This window comes from Homo sapiens, chromosome 2, assembly GCF_000001405.40.
Source record: "Homo sapiens chromosome 2, GRCh38.p14 Primary Assembly".
NCBI classification, from domain to species: domain Eukaryota; kingdom Metazoa; phylum Chordata; class Mammalia; order Primates; family Hominidae; genus Homo; species Homo sapiens.
In genome coordinates, this window is record NC_000002.12 from 7,658,771 (window position 1) to 7,675,533 (window position 16,763).

At 41.2% G+C, this 16,763-nt stretch overlaps 2 long non-coding RNA genes across 3 annotated transcripts, besides 1 other annotated feature; one reads left to right on the forward strand and one right to left on the reverse strand.

The window, feature by feature from the left end:
- Nucleotides 1-3,061: 3,061 nt before the first annotated feature.
- LOC101929510 (uncharacterized) lies at nt 3,062-15,686 on the forward strand. Of its 2 annotated transcripts, XR_007088657.1 has the most exons (5): nt 3,062-3,399; nt 7,285-7,744; nt 8,791-9,000; nt 9,077-9,154; nt 15,076-15,686. It is a non-coding gene; the product is annotated as an uncharacterized LOC101929510 (long non-coding RNA). The 2 variants fall into 2 exon arrangements; XR_007088656.1 differs by lacking the exons at nt 3,062-3,399; nt 7,285-7,744; nt 8,791-9,000; nt 9,077-9,154 and adding exons at nt 12,105-12,809; nt 14,027-14,258.
- LOC107985848 (uncharacterized) lies at nt 12,901-13,515 on the reverse strand. Its single transcript, XR_001739272.2, has 2 exons — nt 13,312-13,515; nt 12,901-13,137 (listed from the first exon to the last, which is right to left on the reverse strand). It is a non-coding gene; the product is annotated as an uncharacterized LOC107985848 (long non-coding RNA).
- Nucleotides 13,308-13,602: a silencer, noted in NCBI's record as "tiled region #5543; HepG2 Repressive DNase unmatched - State 12:CtcfO, and K562 Repressive DNase matched - State 12:CtcfO". NCBI's record gives its function as "represses a minimal TATA promoter and a strong SV40 promoter by Sharpr-MPRA in HepG2 and K562 cells {active_cell/tissue: HepG2 | K562}" and the evidence as "EXISTENCE:reporter gene assay evidence [ECO:0000049][PMID:27701403]".
- Nucleotides 15,687-16,763: the final 1,077 nt, after the last annotated feature.

The following is a 16,763-nucleotide window of genomic DNA, read 5'->3' on the forward strand; positions in this document are numbered from 1 at the left end:
ATCCGATCCTCTTGACTTCCGGCTGCCTGTGTGTCCGCCCGCTAGGGTCTCAGGTTCTTACACGCACAGGATAGGGGCGTGATAAGGCAGGGTGATCTTGGAAAATGCAATATTTGGGTGCAAAAGCAGGAGTGCCTGTCCTCACCTAGGTCTATGCGGGTGCAGCTCTAGCCAGGGACCCCCCTTTCTCTACCCAGCACTCCCTGTCCCCGCTTCTGTATGACTGAAAGGGACCACGCTCTTCCCTTCCCAGCACTCTCATATCAGTTTCACTTACGTACAAAGATGGTAAAATACTGGGCCAGGAAAAAACATGGATTAAGGTAGAATAGGGTTAAGTTTTTGTGTTTTTTGTTTTTAAGGGTCTTTTTTCCCACAGTATGTGTAAGACACCTCTGAAACATCCTAGTAAAGATGAAAATTATTTTACTAAACCTCTGCAACAAATCTCTGAGATAGAAACATTTATATCTCTATTTTATCAAATGTTTAGTGAGACCTAGAGAAAATAACTGCAACTTTCCCATGAACACTGTACTAGTCCATTTCCACACTGCTATAAAGAACTTCCTGAGGCTGGGTAATTTACAAAGGAAAGAGGTGTAATTGACTTACAGTTCAGCATGGCTGAGGAGGCCTCAGGAAACTTACATTCATGGTGGAAGGCAAAGGGAGAGCAAGGAACCTTCTACAAAAAGCAGCAGGAAGGAGAATGAATGCAGGAGGAACTACCAAATACTTATAAAACCATCAGATCTTGTGAGAACTCACTCATTATGATGAGAACAGCATGAGGAAAACCGCCCCCATGATCCGATTACCTCCACTTAATCTCTCCCTTGACACCTGAGGATTATAGGGATTATAATTCAAGATGAGATTTGAGTGGGGACACGAAGCCTAACCATATCAAACACAAAATTAGGAAATGTATACCTGAGGGCCTAGCCTGGGTCTGAGGCCCCCCCCAGTGGCCAAGTCCTCTCCTCTGTCTTCTCCATCCTCTTCTAATGGTCAGGCTATGATGCAAACACTCACAGATCGCAGTGAGGAAAAACACGCTGAGTTCCATGGTGATTGCTGGACCCAAAGCTCTTCACTTAGAAAATGCATAGTTGGGAGATTCATGGTCCCTCCTGCAGAGTAATCATCTCACAGATAAAATGCACAGGTGCATTGGTGCTGGCTCATGTCTGCGTTGATTTCCCAGAGGGGCTCATGCTCAAAAGTTGAGTAGAAAATGAGGACTTTAAGAGTGCTTAAAATTTTGAGTACCCAAAGAAGCACTTCTGAAGCACAGAAGTTAAACAGCTCATTAGTTAGGACTCCATCCTCTCAAAACACTGCAGAGATCCACACAGTGTTGCCTTGGACAGCAGCTGCTTCCTGGAATCTTTATACTGTCACCACAACTCCTAAGCAGGAGGAAGAGACTTTTGGAATATTGGAGTAGAAAATGCAAGTGGAGATAATTAGTCTAATATTGTCCTGTGATGTGGTTTAGCTGTGTCCCCACCCAAATCTCATCTTGAATTGTTGCTCCTGTAATTGCCACGTGCCATGGAGTGACCCAGTGGGAGGTAATTGAATCATGGGGGTGGGTCTTTCCCAGGCTGTTCTCGTGATAGTAAATACGTCTCACAAGATCTGATGGTTTTATAAAGGGCAGTTCCCCTGCACACGCTCTCTAGCCTGCTACCATGTAAGATGTGCCTTTGCTCTTCCTTTGCCTTCTGCCATGATTGTGAGGCCTCCCCAGCCACGTGAAACTGTGAGTCCATTAAAACTCTTCCTTTATATATTACTCAGTCTTGGGTATGTCTTTATTAGCAGCATGAGACAGATTAATAATCCCATTTTTAAAATGTCCTTACAAAAATAAGCTGACTGTTTAAGACCTGAGAATGACGAGGCTGAGTCAGTCTGGCCACACAGCCAGTTAGTGCAGGGCCAAGAACATAAAGGTCCCCTGACCCCCTGCCCAGCTCTTTTTTGCCATCAGAATGCTTCCTTATCATTTTACTGATAGACTTACTGTTCCCCACATTAAACATTAGATTTCTCTTTTTTGTGTGTGAATTGTTCTCCATTTGTCAGTTACATTCTAGTAAGTACCAAGTTCCCTGTGTTTCTCCTCACCACCAGGGAGGGCCCTGGGAAGTTGTCCACCTTGAGCCCACATAACCTTGTGAGCAACTTAGACACACTCCACGTCAAACTGCCTCAAGGGCACTTGGAGAGCTCTGAGAAGGCTGTGATGTGCACACCACGGGGGAAGCTCTCAGAGGATATTGGCAGCAATTCAGTTGCCAACCAGCTGCAAAAAGCTTTAAAGGACAGTGTTGCATAAAAAATGAAAAATGTTGATTGAGGACATATTGCCCTTGATTGAATGCTGAAGGAAACCTGCTGGCAGAAAAATAGATGAGAAAGGGAGAGGGGAAGGGAAAAGGGGAGCAGGGAAAAATAGGTTTGCCCACTTGAGCAGCTGTGGAGAAAGCTCTGTTTGTCCACCCACAATGAGCATCACATGGAGTGAGATGTCATGCTGTCTACCAGAAATCCAGGCCCCAAAATCGCTAGGGATCTTACCATAGTTTGCCTTGGGACTTTCCAATGCTAAGAACTGTTCAAACCTTTGCTTTCCTAACTGGTTCCCATCCTTTCCAACTTTGCCTGAAGGCCCCAGAAGGGTAGGGCAGGAAGAGAATGCATATTTACAGCTTTTGAACGCAGGCTTGGGGCTTTATAATCCAGTGGCCATCGAAGATGTAACTTGGTTGTCTTCTTGGAAACACTAGCAGTGATTTTATCATTTATTCCTGTGGGAGATCTGGCTCCCTGCCAGCCAGGGACGGAGCTTTCTCTTACTTCCCAGCGTTGTACAGCCAGTGGTTTTAAATGTGATTGTTCTGAGGATTCCTCTCTGCAGAGTTCAGTTACTCACCAATCATCACTGCCCAAGGAGGATGCTTTTCTGAGAAATATTCTAGATGACTTGATTGAAGGAGGCTCCACTGTGATCTGAGCCAGATATGTTTACCCTAAGAGGACTCACGCTTATCATCCAGCACAATGGTGTCCTCTTACTAGAATTAGCATCTGCTGGATCACTGACTGCATTTCCACAGAACACAGAACAAAGCGGTTAAGATCCAGGGCATTGAGCCACGCCTTAAATCGAAGCATTGTCCACCTTCTAACCCCAAGCAGACACCAAGAGGGAGCCAACAACAGGGATCCTGAGAGGCAAAGGGAGTCCAAGGAGCTATGGGGAGAACTTTCCATCTTTGGGGATGAGAATGTGAAGCATCAATTTATGTGAAAACTACTGCTTGATTAAAGACAAGATTTTTGAAAGCCATCCTGTAAAACACCCTGTCCCACACATTGTTAAAGGTAAGAGGGCTAGACACAATGCTGTCACTGCAAAAAATTGAGTATTTCATAGTCTTCATCTCATAATTAGTATGGTAGTAATCAATATGACTGATATAAAAAGAACTAGATATAAGTCTTTGTTTTTCTGACATCTTGTAGAGTTTTTGTAAGGCAATATTAAATAAAAATGTGTAGGGTAATGATATTGTAAGATCCTTTGTTGGTAAATGTGAAAAATTTCATAGATAACTCTTAATGATTGAGCCCCCTCTTTGTACACTATAGGAACATAGAACCAAATAATACTACCGATAAATGTTTGTTGGATTAATAACTTCACAAAAGGATACAACTTTTCTGGAGAGATATCAATAGGACAAAGGCCTGTAATCTATCGATTCTACTTTTAGGAATATATCATAAAGTAAATGTGTGGTTGGTTATTCAATTTAGGTGAAATTATGCTCAACAAACCTTTTACAAAAAAAAATTTGTTTTTTTTTTTTGAGATGGGTTCTTGCTCTTTTGCCAGGCTGGAGTGCAGTGGCTCTATCTCAGCTCGCTGCAACCTCTACCTCCCGGGTTCAAGTGATTCTCCCGCCTCAGCCTCCCGAGTAGCTGGGACTACAGGCGCGTGCCACCATGCCAAACTAATTTTTGTATTTTTAGTAGAGACGGGGTTTCAGCATATTGGCCAGGATGATCTTGATCTCTTGACCTCATGATCCGTCCACCTCAGCCTCCCAAAGTGCTAAAATGAGAGAAAACTTTAAACAACCCAGAATGTTTAGTACCAAAGGCCTAGTTGAATAAAACTGATCAGCCATGTAGTGCAACACTATGTAGACTTAAAAATGATATTGTAGAAGAACATTTAACCACATGAAAATACATGTTAAAAAGTTTGGTGAAAAAAGTAAGACAAATATCTAAATGGCATGTTCAATATAGAATATTTTTGATAAAACATAAGCATACACAAATATTCTGCAAGTATATTAATCTTTTTAAAATGTTAACATCAGTTTTTGGAATAAAGCAAGAGATGTTTTTAAAATATTTCTTTGTATTTAAATTTTGCATTTATTCTAAAATGAATGCTCATTACTCATGTAATAAGAAAGTAATGAAAAAATAGTAAAAAATAAAAAGGCCTCCATAAATTACATGTAATTTAATAATGAAAAACTACTTAGCTACTACCTACCAGGCCCTATATGGGCAGGCAGAGTGGAAGGTTCAAAGGAGAATTGATCAGTTCTGCTCTCCAAGCACTCATGATTCTGAGAACCAGAACAGAGAACAAGGAAGCAAAGGGTGAGAAACCAAATTTTCTAAGAGCATCAGTTTCTTAAAGTCAATATCATGGAGATATCTCTGAACCCGTGTTCCATTTCCTCATGTTTAATAGTTTCAGATTCAAGAACAGCCTGGCCAACATGGTGAAATCTTGTCTTTACGAAAAATACAAAAATTACTGGGCATGGTGGCAAGTGCCTGTAATCCCAGCTACTCGGGAGGCTAAGGCAGGAGAATCACTTGAATCCGGGACGCGGAGCGTGCAGTGAGTCGAGATCGCACCATTGCACTCCAGCCTGGGCAACAAGAATGAAACTCCATCTAAAAAAAAAAAAAAAGGCAGAGAGAGAGAGAGAGGGAGAAAAGTCACCCATACAACCACCAAGTCATTTAAATTCATGGTTTTTTTTGGATCAGAGTTGTCATCTTCACACATGGGGGAACAGGCCCATGTAAGACAGTTGGTTTCAGCTCTCCAGCAACCTTGGAGTTAATGGAGCTCTTTTCAATCTTGAGCCATCAATTTTTCCAATGTAACCTATCATGGTAGAAACCTCCCAAATTATGGGGGTCTTCTCCATGATGAAGCTGAAGCACTCACTTTGCGACAAGTAACCCTTAAGTGACTCCCCAAAGATACAATGATATTATTGGTTTACTATTAACTCACTACAGTGACTTTAAGTGGTATGGCTGCCTAGAGAATTTACAGTCAGAGTTATTTCCCCTGGAAGAACAATATAAGGTGAGATGTTTGAGAGCAGAGACTATTTTGTTAATGTCTGTGTCACCTATAAGTGGCAAAATACTTGCCACATAGAATTCTACTCAATGATACTGGTGTGTTTGCTAAAAAATCCTGTATAGCTGATTGAGGGTTCCAGCCATGAAGTTTGCATTTTACATCTGCAGTGCTGTGATGTTGTCCAGCTTCCTACGCGCAATGGCACTTCTCATTTTCCACTTTTTAATGACTCTTTAAATTCTTTATTTAATGACTCTTAAATTCTTTATTGTTGCAACTTACAATAAGTAACATTGAATGAGCCCCTAGAATACAGCCTGGCACCTAGGTTCCTGATTTGAGGATGCCCAGTGTTGCCCAGGCCCTGTGGGCTGGACAAGGGAAGGCAATGTGAGGGCTGCACTCTGAGCCACTCCAGTCTGCCAGGAGAAATAGTGAAGTTGTGCCGCCATGTCACTGCTATCCATACTCTAAGACAACTTCAAGTACTTCAGCTGAGATGAGGTAAAGGGTGAAGGTTGAGGTCAAAATACAGCTAAGTAACAGAGCGCAGAACAGAAATACAAAGGAAGGGAGACAAAGGCGTGGATTCATCCGGTTGGCTGCTCAGTTCCATGCCAAGGGATGAACAGGTGTCTGTCTAGAAGCAAACTCTTAAATAAGAAAAGACCTACCTTAGAAATGTAGTCACATCTCCACTTGCTAAATTATGTGGCCTGTGGCATGTCACTGAGCCTCCGTTTCTGACTATATCATTAGGGCTATGAATATCAAATGAATTAATGCATATGAATGGATTTTGTTGGCAGTAAAACAATATTCAAATCTATTATGCTCTCAATATGTGGAAGGAGGACCACTTTCACCAACATAACAAAAACTGGTGTTACCAATTTGTTATATATGAAGCATGCAGGAATAAAATCAGAGGAGCGTTCAAGCCAGCCCCCACCAGTTCCAGAGAGCTGACGGTATCCATCTTCTCCCAAATCTGCCTTCAGTGATCAGATGAGGGTAGTTTGCCATTGGCCACAGTGAGAATATTTACAGCATAGAATTTGGAAAATGCTACAAATCAGGACCTCTTCATTCTCCGCTGGGAGAGGTTGTTAAACCTTACCAACACAAGACTGGATGAAGTGTCTGTTTTTTCCAGTTAATCTTTCTCATATCTGACAAGGATAAGATTTTTTTCTATTTGTTTCACACTAGCCCTTTCAGACACCAGCATTTCCCTGGATTAGCAAAATAATCAGCATTCACAAGAGGAGAGAGAATGAGAAAAAAAAAAAAGGCTCTAAATCTGAAGCCTGTGTCCATCTTTCTTAGAGGAATTTAAATTCCAAGGCCTATATATTCTTCAATTCCATATGGTACCATGAGGTCTCAGTAAATATCACTCAATGGCTCCAATTTAGTAACACTGCCACACACACACACACACACACACACACACACACACACACACACGAGTCATCTGCCATCTGCTGGACTTCATGTGAGAGTCGGTAGTTTCAGTCAATGGAATGGTGCTCATAGACACGAACCTCTAACCTGATTGAGATAGTTTGAGTCAATAACTTCTTCCTGATTGTTGAAAGATTAATAACACATTTATATTCTTAAAAGTGGCATCAACCATAAGCTGATGGGAAAAATCAAGTTTTCTGTGTGTTGGTTCCTCTCAAAGATGCATTCCACTGCGGAAGGGGTTTATGTACCTCCTAAGAGTATGGGGCGAGGGCAGGTGCAAGCCAAAGGGAAGCCTCAGAAATGTGTTCCCTACTCATCCTGCCCTCAAACAGGGCCAGTGACAGTAACAGACACTATCTGTTTCATGCACTTACTCCCATTTCTAGATCTGGTACCTGAAACCACAGTGCCGAAAGTAGTCAAGTACGACTATGCCTGAAGCCCAGAAGTGTGGTTTTCCACAGTGAGGAAGATTTGCATTGTGAAGCAGATGTCAGATAGAAAAAGCAAAACAGAAATATGAAGACATTGTAAGAATTTTGGGGTGATTTCTGACCTGCTCAGTTTCCATCAGGGCATCCCAGGGTTTTTTGCCTTCTCAATTTTGAACAGCATAGCATTTAAATGATCATTTTTGTTTCTCTCCGCTGCTCCCCAATCTAAACAACAAAAGAAGGAATTTAACCTCATATCCTCGCTCTGAAATTAGCTCTATTGTCAAAAGATGACAGCTGTATCCTGATTTCAAGAATTTCATGTTGGAATAAAACAGCATTTTTGAAACCATTGTGTTATTTCAAACAGATCTGTAATGGTCCCTGAGCAAACCATTTTCAGAAGACTTGGGTAAGTAAGATAAAAAGACACCATTTCTGAAGAGTTGCTTTTATGGGCTAGGTCAGAGTGCTCTCTTTCCATGTTGTTCATTCCCAGTTGAATTTCCTAATAGTCTATCTCCTCAGCTAACAGATGCCCAGCCTCATGTCGGAACCAGATCGCGCCACTGCTGAGATTCCATCCAGTTCCTTTCTTATTGAGCCGTTTCCCTAGCAGATGGTGCAATGCTGCAGGCATACTCCTTCCTGTTAATTACCAGCCTTTGCTACAGATGGAAATGTCAGTCAGCCTCACAGGTCCTGGTTCCTGCCATTGCCTCAGTCCCTAGCCCTCTACCTAGGCAAGATGCTGCCAACACACACCATGTGTTTTGTGACTGCTGACTAGGCAGGCAACAAAAAACAACTTACTTCATGAATATTCATGGCGGAATGTTTAAAGTTCTGTTCATCTGTGATGCTTATAGATCCGCTTAAAGGGGATGGCACCTTCCTAAGAACACTCTGCCCCTTGTTTTCCTAAACTGAGGATACACGAGTTACCAAGTGAGTTGTCATGGCAACGTAGAGAGGACCATTAAACGTCGGCCATTTGGAGCCTTCTGTAGATACATCAGTTTCTGACTAACATTCTTCTCATACCTCTAAGTATCACTTAATTATTCTTGTCCTGCCATAACAGACCAATAGTCACCAAGCTGAACTGATTAGCTAATAACTGTTGGTTTTCATTAAACCCTGATTATCTCATTAGCGCATATGTAGCCAATATGAATTCCTTGATCTTTCTTGGTATTTAAATATACCAAATCGAGATAAATGAATTTCAGTAGTCATCCTCTATCCATTAAGTCGAATTATTTTACTTGTGTTGGAAACATTTTAGCAATCAAAACTGGGTATCTTTTTAGGTTTAGAGGAAAAAATTAGGGCTCAGGTTTTGAGAGTAGAGAAGAGGAAGTGAGATCTTGAGGAAGACTTTGATTGAAGGTCATTCAGATAAGCTTTTTTTCTTTTTTTTAATTTGTCATCTTCTTTGGGATGCTGTGTTTATAGGTGAGATCACGTGATGATGGAGAAGGTCACCAGAGCCAGGCACCTTGTCCACACACAGGGCTTCCTTCCTCCATGACTTAACCCAGAGATGTAGACGGCGGGGTCAACATTAAATACCACAAACAGGCAAAAGAGCTTCAGACAGAAGGATCATCTTCCTGAAGACAAAATAATCATCATCCTTTGAGGGCAAAGTGGGCAACGTTATGGGTATGTAAAATTGAGAAGCAGCTTTCATGAGTCCTGATTTATTTATTTAAAAATCTAAATTTATTTTTTTCCTTAGGTATCTTTTGTTTTGGAATGGGACTCTACACTATGGGATTTCTAGTGGAGAGGACAGTTACCAGAGTCAGCACTGGAGGTATGGGAATTTCTAAGCTAGAGAACTGCAGTAGGGAAAATTGAAAGATGCTATTTTGGGGGTCTCACTGATAGTTATGAAGCTTAAGTGTTTTTTCCTGGTGTCTTTTTAAGAAGCATATGTTAGTTGTATGCTTTATGATATAAAAAAAGATAAAGCATGTATAGGTATTTTACAGGCAGAGCAGAGATGGGGATATTCTGAATGCCCTTACCCCCCAGAAAACAAAAGTTAAGCTACATATATTTTATAAAGTAATAGGAGAGGATACATCTCTAGGAAAAGTGGGGAGATAATGCCCATAACGTAGCTAGGGCTCTACATTCCCTTGTTCAAAATCAACTATGATTGCATTTTACAATGAAGAACGCACACAGTGATTTGCAGGTAAATATTTAACAACAAGCTCGCCAAATAAAAATTGCTAGAATATATATACATGTATATAATGTCATTATAAACTTTACTCATATAAAGGATGTATATCACACAATTTACAAATAATAAAATACACAATACTCTTTATTGCAAATTTTACATAAGCAATTAATTCTTACAGAATACTTTCACTGATTTTTGCCAAGCTGCAGTATCTGTAGCCAACCTATGGTTACAATTCAGTTATGATTTGATAATTGAAACTGAATCCCTTTCTGCTCTTTCCTCATTAAATTTGTTATCATTAAGTCCAATATGTGATCTATTGTTAAACTAGTTCTCATTCTCATACAAACTATTATACATTTAGTAAATCAAAGTCTGTTTCTGGTTCATTGCTATGTATATCGGAATTTCACCCTTTGTTCAATGATGTGAGGAACTTTTTGTCTAATTGGATAATGGTATTCAAATACAGGAAGAATATTTCTTCAATATCTTTTGCTATACACAATGTAGTAGCTACATGCACAGCACACTATTAGGTTTAATCTGCATTACTGACATTTTCTGCAATACTTTCTTAAGTCTAGTCAATCAACAGAGCATTAAATCAAGTTTTGTTTTACAGTGTTTGCCAATTTCTGTTTTATAAATATTTCTACCATGCTCAATTTCAAGCTACCAACATGATGTCACTGAAGGCAAAGTTGGACAGAGAAGTTATAATAGTACACTTGATTTTTAATAATGACTGTGTTTAACAACCAAATTACAAAATTGCTGAAAATTTAACCCTAGGCTCTTGCAGGCTGGTGCAAGTCAACTCAAACACACCACCAGGGCACCCACTCTCCCCATTTCCTCCACTTATCATCTCTTTTGGAATAAAGATATCATGTGTGTATGTTTACAAGTATGTAAAAATTACATAATTTTACAAAATCTTATTTAAGTGAAGCTTAATAAAGCATTCAATAAATTGAATTGAATGGATGCACACTTAATGAAGCTAGTTGAAAAAATAAAATATAAACACATGGAAAGTTTAGTAATATTTGGAGTGAGTTTCGCTTTGTGCCAAGGGAGATTTAACAGGACAATATGGCTTCTAAGAAGGGTGAGGACTTTCTGTATAGCCTAGTAGGGGTGGGCAAGGAGGTTAGCCTGAGCCTAGAAAAGTGGTTAAGATTTGGGTAGGTGAAGAGGGAAAAAAAGAATAGTTCAGTCATTAACTCAAAGAATATGTATTGATTGATTACTAGTAACCATAAATATTAAATTTTATATCATTAACAATCTTTAAAAGGGTACAGAGTTTCTCCAAAGAATGTTTTAATCTTCTAAGCAACTGGCGGGACACAAATAAATGTCAAAAATCAGTTACTTAAGGAGTTTTAAATGTCTAAATTTTAAAAATTAACCACAGTGTCTAAAAGCAAACAAAAATTGTTTTCCTTATATACTATATCTTTAAAAATTCTGTGGAGAATAACAGCAACAGAAACTTATGAGGAAGCCAAAAATTGCTTGTCAGATTTAGGAGATATACAAAAACCAAGTGTTTTGTTTTGTTTTGCTTTGTTTTTTAATTTGGTCTTCAAAGGAGGGAGAAGAAGGACACATGTAATTAAAGGTCAAAATGATAATAACTTGGCTAGAATTCATTTTCATTTGCAGACTGGCACTTGTAGGAATTCCCTATTAGCCCAAAGACTAGCCTGAAGTTAGTTAGGCATTATTTCCCAAAGTAAGAAAAGTTAGCTTTCATTTCTAAAGCCAGGAAGAAAGAATTATAGATCTGTATAAAACAAACATGGATGTGTTTGCCATAAAATGAGAAAAGAGATCTGTAATTCTGAATAAAGAAATATCTAACCTCTAATAGGGAAAATTTAAAAAATTTACTTTTTATTGAAAAGTAAATATGGAAATAAATACGAAAAATAACCAAATTGAAAATTGTTCAATCTGGTTAGTAATGTAATTAAAGGAATAAGATGTCAATTTCTCTTAGAAGGGAAACCAAAGCCATAGAAGTTACTACATTATTGCCTCTTCTGATATGAGATAGATATACTCATATACTGCTATGAATTGCTGCTCATTTATTTTTAGAAGTCAGTTTGACATATGTAACTAGAACCACAATAGAGAAATGGTTAAAGATACTATGGGCCATCTGTCTGTCTGTCTGTCTCATCTGTCTAATTAGTTATCTAGAAAAACCAGTACGGAAAGAAAAAAATAACAAAATGTTAATGAATTAAAAGTGATTTGAGGTCTCTGTTTACATTTTTATGTATTTTTCCATTTTTTTTTTTACATTAGCAACTTTTGCTTTTATAATCAGAAAAAAGAAATCAAAGTTAATTTAGAAAGGAATTGTACTGCTTTTGAGGAGCACAAGCTTTGGATACAGAAAGACCTTGAATTATAGCCTGCTTTGAACCTCTACGATCTGTGCAGCATTGGCTAAACATTTCTTAGACTCAGATCTTCAGTTTCACATCTTTTAAAAGGCATAATAACAGAATGCTTACAGGTTTACCTTGAAAATAGCTGAGCCTACCTTACGGAGTGCTGGACGTGTGGTATGTGTTTAGTGCAGGCCAGCTCCCCTCCCCAGTTCAACACATCCTGAGTGGTATCCACTGACATTGAAAGACCAAAATCAGATCTTTTTGAGTCTCATCAATTCTATCAAAAAAACCCTCCCCCTTGTGCTCTCAACCTAGGAGGGTCAAGCCAGTGGAATGGTAATCATCTTGTGTGAGTTGTCAGTGCTCTCCTAAGCATCTGTTACGCAGGATCACGCTCTTAAGTTTGCCAAAAATTACCTCATTGATAATGTCTGCTGGAGATGCTTAGGCAAAACTTGAAATAGAAAGATAGTCTTTTGGAAGACAATTCCCCACAAGTGTAACCCCAAAGAATGTTGGTTTGGTGACATGGAACAGCTGGAAAAGTAAGACCACATCGTTCAAAAGCATGACAGTACCTCTGCAAATGAGACGAGAGCTAAATATGTGTCTCAGAGATAGGAAGCTAAATCAGAACGCAGCAAGAAGACAGCACACATTCGAGAGAGGAAAAAATGTGAAATCTGCTTCTGGCCATCAGAGGAGCTGATGCAATCCCGGCTGACTCGGGGGACAGCCACGGTGCCAGCTACAGAGGCCACATGGCTTCTAATGAGGCCAGGCCCAGTTGTAGCTCCGAAGAGTGGGTGAGCCAGCCAAATTTCACCCAAGGACAGAAGCAGCCTTAACAGCTGGTGAGTGAATTAACTTCAGGCAAACCGGTTGGACCCAGGTGGAGGGACATTTTGAATCATTCCCTTATGGGTAGAAAAAGAACAAAACATCTTAGGAAACAGAGCTACCATGGCCTCTTTATTTCAGTTTAGTTTCTCCTGTCAGCCTTCTTTGGGGGCCAGGGAAGGAGCTAGGCAGGAGGGAGAAGCTTGGGGGCTTGAGGGACTGTGGAGCGATGACACATCAGTTTGAGACTGCATAAAAGGAGGATGGGGAAGTCAGGGTCCAGGGTGCGCTTGCATTGCAGAGCTGGGAAGGAGACTGCACTTGATCAAGGCAGCATTCCACCTGAGTTAAAGGAAAACATTTTAGGTGATGTGAGCTCTTAAAATGAGATTTCCTCTTAAGAGAACCTCTTCAGCATCTTTTTTATCTGCAGCTCTTATCAAATGCTGGGTCCCTGGCATTTGCACAGTAAATATTGTTGACCTGCTCCAGAGTATCTCTACTCCCAAGATTTACCTGTTTATGGAGTGGGCTGTCCTCATGAGGCCTTGTCCCTGGAAGCGCCCTGCAGAGAGCAGGCTGATCCTGAAGGGACGGAAGAAGGGCTTCTTGCATTGACTGGAAACCTGAATCCTGAGGAATTCAGGGAAAGCCTGCATCCTGCAGTTTGAGCACCATCCTGCCACCTGGTGGCTGCATCCCTAAATTGCAAGGGCAGGTCTGTTTTAACAAGCCTCTAAATAAGTGAATTTGCAAAATAAAGTCATGAGGTGAAGCCATTTTGACAAATGTTAAAGAGAGATGCGAACATCTTAGAAGGATGGGTAGAATTAAAAAAAAAAACATATGTTGTGAGAGAATATAGCTTTTCTGGTGAGAAAGAGGTCAAATCAAATGTGAGTGGGCAGACAGGAAACAGGAGGCTAACGCAGCACCCAGGCGTGGGTAGGATACCGCATACCGCCCTGACATGCAGGTTATTCCAGGAAGATGTCTCTCTCTGTGAAGGCTGAGGTTACCACTGTTCCTACGCAGCCCAGGGAGGAAAGGGGTCTGGTAACATTGTGTGCCTCTCCTTTTTTGACATGCTAATATTTGACCCATATTTAAGTGTGCAAAAACCTTCTCAAGGCAGCACAACATCTTTTGATTTTTTAACATCAGCACTGAGTTTACCTGTTTTTTTTCTTTGGTCACTTTTGTCTTCTTCCTTTCCCATTCTCTTCTTTAGTTGACAAGCACTGGCTACCATCTATGTGTCAACAATTGTGTCATGAGTTTGAGATGGGCCGACAGCACGTGGAACTCAAAGGTGACTAAGGGAGAAAGGAAAGTAAATCAATGATCAGAGTCCAGAGAGCTACATGCAGTGCAACCCATGGTTTTATGGGAGAACCGACAGGGGCACCTCACTCTGGAAGGAACAACGCCAGGAGAGGCTTTGAGGTGCCGATAATGTCCAGGTGATGTGCAAATGTGTAGGAGCTAGCAAGACAGAAAAGCAGCTATTAATGGGGAAGTGGTGTGGGTGACATTTCAAATAGAGGGAATAGGAGGCAAAAGAAGATTAAAAATATATGCTTAAGGAAATGCTGGAACGACTATTTCACATGGCCATGGTGCCAGAGATAAGTTTAGAAGACATGCACAGGATCAGACCAGGGAGGGTGAGCCAGTGGCTCTGCATTTCACCCTGGCAACTCTGAAGTCCTGCTGGAGAATTTTAAGCAGGGGCGGAACAGCCACCTGACAGATACAGATAAACATCCTGGAAAGATCACTCCTGCTGCAGAGAGAAAGGAGCAATGCTGGAGGCTGCGGCTGCCCAGGCCAAGGAGGCCTTCTGAAAAAGTCCATCTGGATGAAGGCGAATTCAAGAGCAGCTTAGCTGGCAGAACTGAAGGACCGTGGTGCTCCTACAGATCATGTGGATGATGGGAAGGGTCTCCAGGAAATGCACAGAGGGTGTGAAAAGTTCCAGGTTGAAATCCTAGGTGCAGGGTAGGCAATGGCCATTTTAGCATTTATGAATGGAAAATCCAGGGTGCACAATGCTTTGAGGAGAGAGTCACTTTGGATTTGCCTCCGGAGTCTACAGGTGCGGTGTCCTTGGGCGCCCAGCCATGCAAGTCTGGGGTCTGGGCTGGTAGCCGGATCTCAGCCTCTTTCACCTCCCTTTTTCCTCTTTTTATTTATTTATTTTTCATTCTTTCCCCTCTCCACATCTCAGTTCTAACCTCTTTGCCTCAATATGCTCTTTCTTGTCTGTTCTTTAAACAGGAACTTGTTTGGAATTGAGCCTTGATTCTGAAAAGAAAGTATCAGAGGGCAGCATTTGAACTGGCATTTAAGGTGTCAACCAGGGGGAATTTGGTGCCGACCAGTAAAAGGGGAGAATCAAAAACAGAAGCTCCATCACCAGGGACAGGGCCAGACTCCTGACTAGAAACTCAGTGGATGTGCTGAATCATTCGGATACTTTCCAGAAAATTATTTTACCTACTCAGAAGGCTGGGCATCAGCCAAAACTGTCTGGAAAACCACAAGGAAAGACATTTCCATGAAGTAACTAGAGTTTTGGGCTTCTACTCTAGAGGAATATAAGAGGAACTTTCTTTAAAGAGTATGCAGGTGGTTCCTTTTAAGCTCACCTGTCTGGTTTTTCAAACAGATCAAGGGGTGATGGCAGGGAAACGTCTCCCCTGGAAATCTCACCCCTCCATTTGCTAAAGAGAAGGAGCTTCAATCCCTTGACAGGATGATGAAACAATAATAAACTGATGTGACCAAGTCTCATGCCAGCAGTCCTACCTGTGGCCCACCCTTCTCGTGGCCAACAATGGCTTTTCTTAAATAAATAAAAATCAAGATTTGTACCACTCCTGCTGTAAGCTCTTCAGTGGCTCATGGATGAATGAACAGGATCACCATTGGCACACAAGTCCCCCCACAGATCACCTACTCATCTTTCCACCCCAGCTTTTGCCATTCTCTCCCCATCCCACAAATCCATTGCCATCCAAAGATAAGAAAGATACCAGATAGGGCTTCCCAGTTGCAGCAGAGTGGACTGTCTTTACACTGGAGGGCTATTCTTCCACAAAGAAGTCTTCTCCCCCGTGGGAAGGGATTGGAGTACTTCTCCTAGGCACTATGTGAGCAGATGGTTGAGAAATGAGCTAGCCCTTGAGCTTCTGCAGCAAGGGAGGGTCCCATCATGAGAGCAGATGGTATGGGAAATGCACCAGTTTGGAATTGGGAGGAACAAGTTTCAGGCCTGACTCAGATACAGATACTTGCCATCATCAGTATGCCCTTGAATGAACTATAAAGTGTCTCTGAACCTCTGTTGTCTCCTTTGCAGTGTTGAGCCAAGGTTATATACCACACAGGGATTGAGGAAGAGGAATTAAGGCAGCGTACATGGAAGTGGCTGGCTCAGTCATCACTGGCTAAACGCTACTTGAATTCCATTCTAAAACTCCACATAGAAAGGCAATTTGACAAAATTTGATCATCCCTTCACCCCAATTATCACCCCGTGAACTTTTCTTCCATTTATCACCCTTGGATTTCGTAGCTCGGCACACACAGTCTTTCTCCCTCTCTCACTTCTTTCTTTCTCTCCTTTTTTCTTCTTCTGTTAAACCTAAGAAATTCTAATGCTGAAGAGGGTTTTCTTAAGGTGATTCTCCTGGAAAAGATGACTCTTTAAGCAAAAATTCAGACTTTCTCTAGAGTGACCGAGACATGTAGGTGGCGGTAGCAATACAGGCTGACCTTCCAGCATGGTCCTGGGAACCACAGGTCAGCTCTGCTGCAGATGCCCAGACAGCGTGTCTCTTCCTGAAACAAATCGACTTCCACATGGCTCTTCTGAAGACTAAGATGGCCACGTCTATCTAATGAACCCATCCTGCCACCTCCATTTGGGTCCTGGAAATGGACCGAGCTCTTTTGTGGTTCCC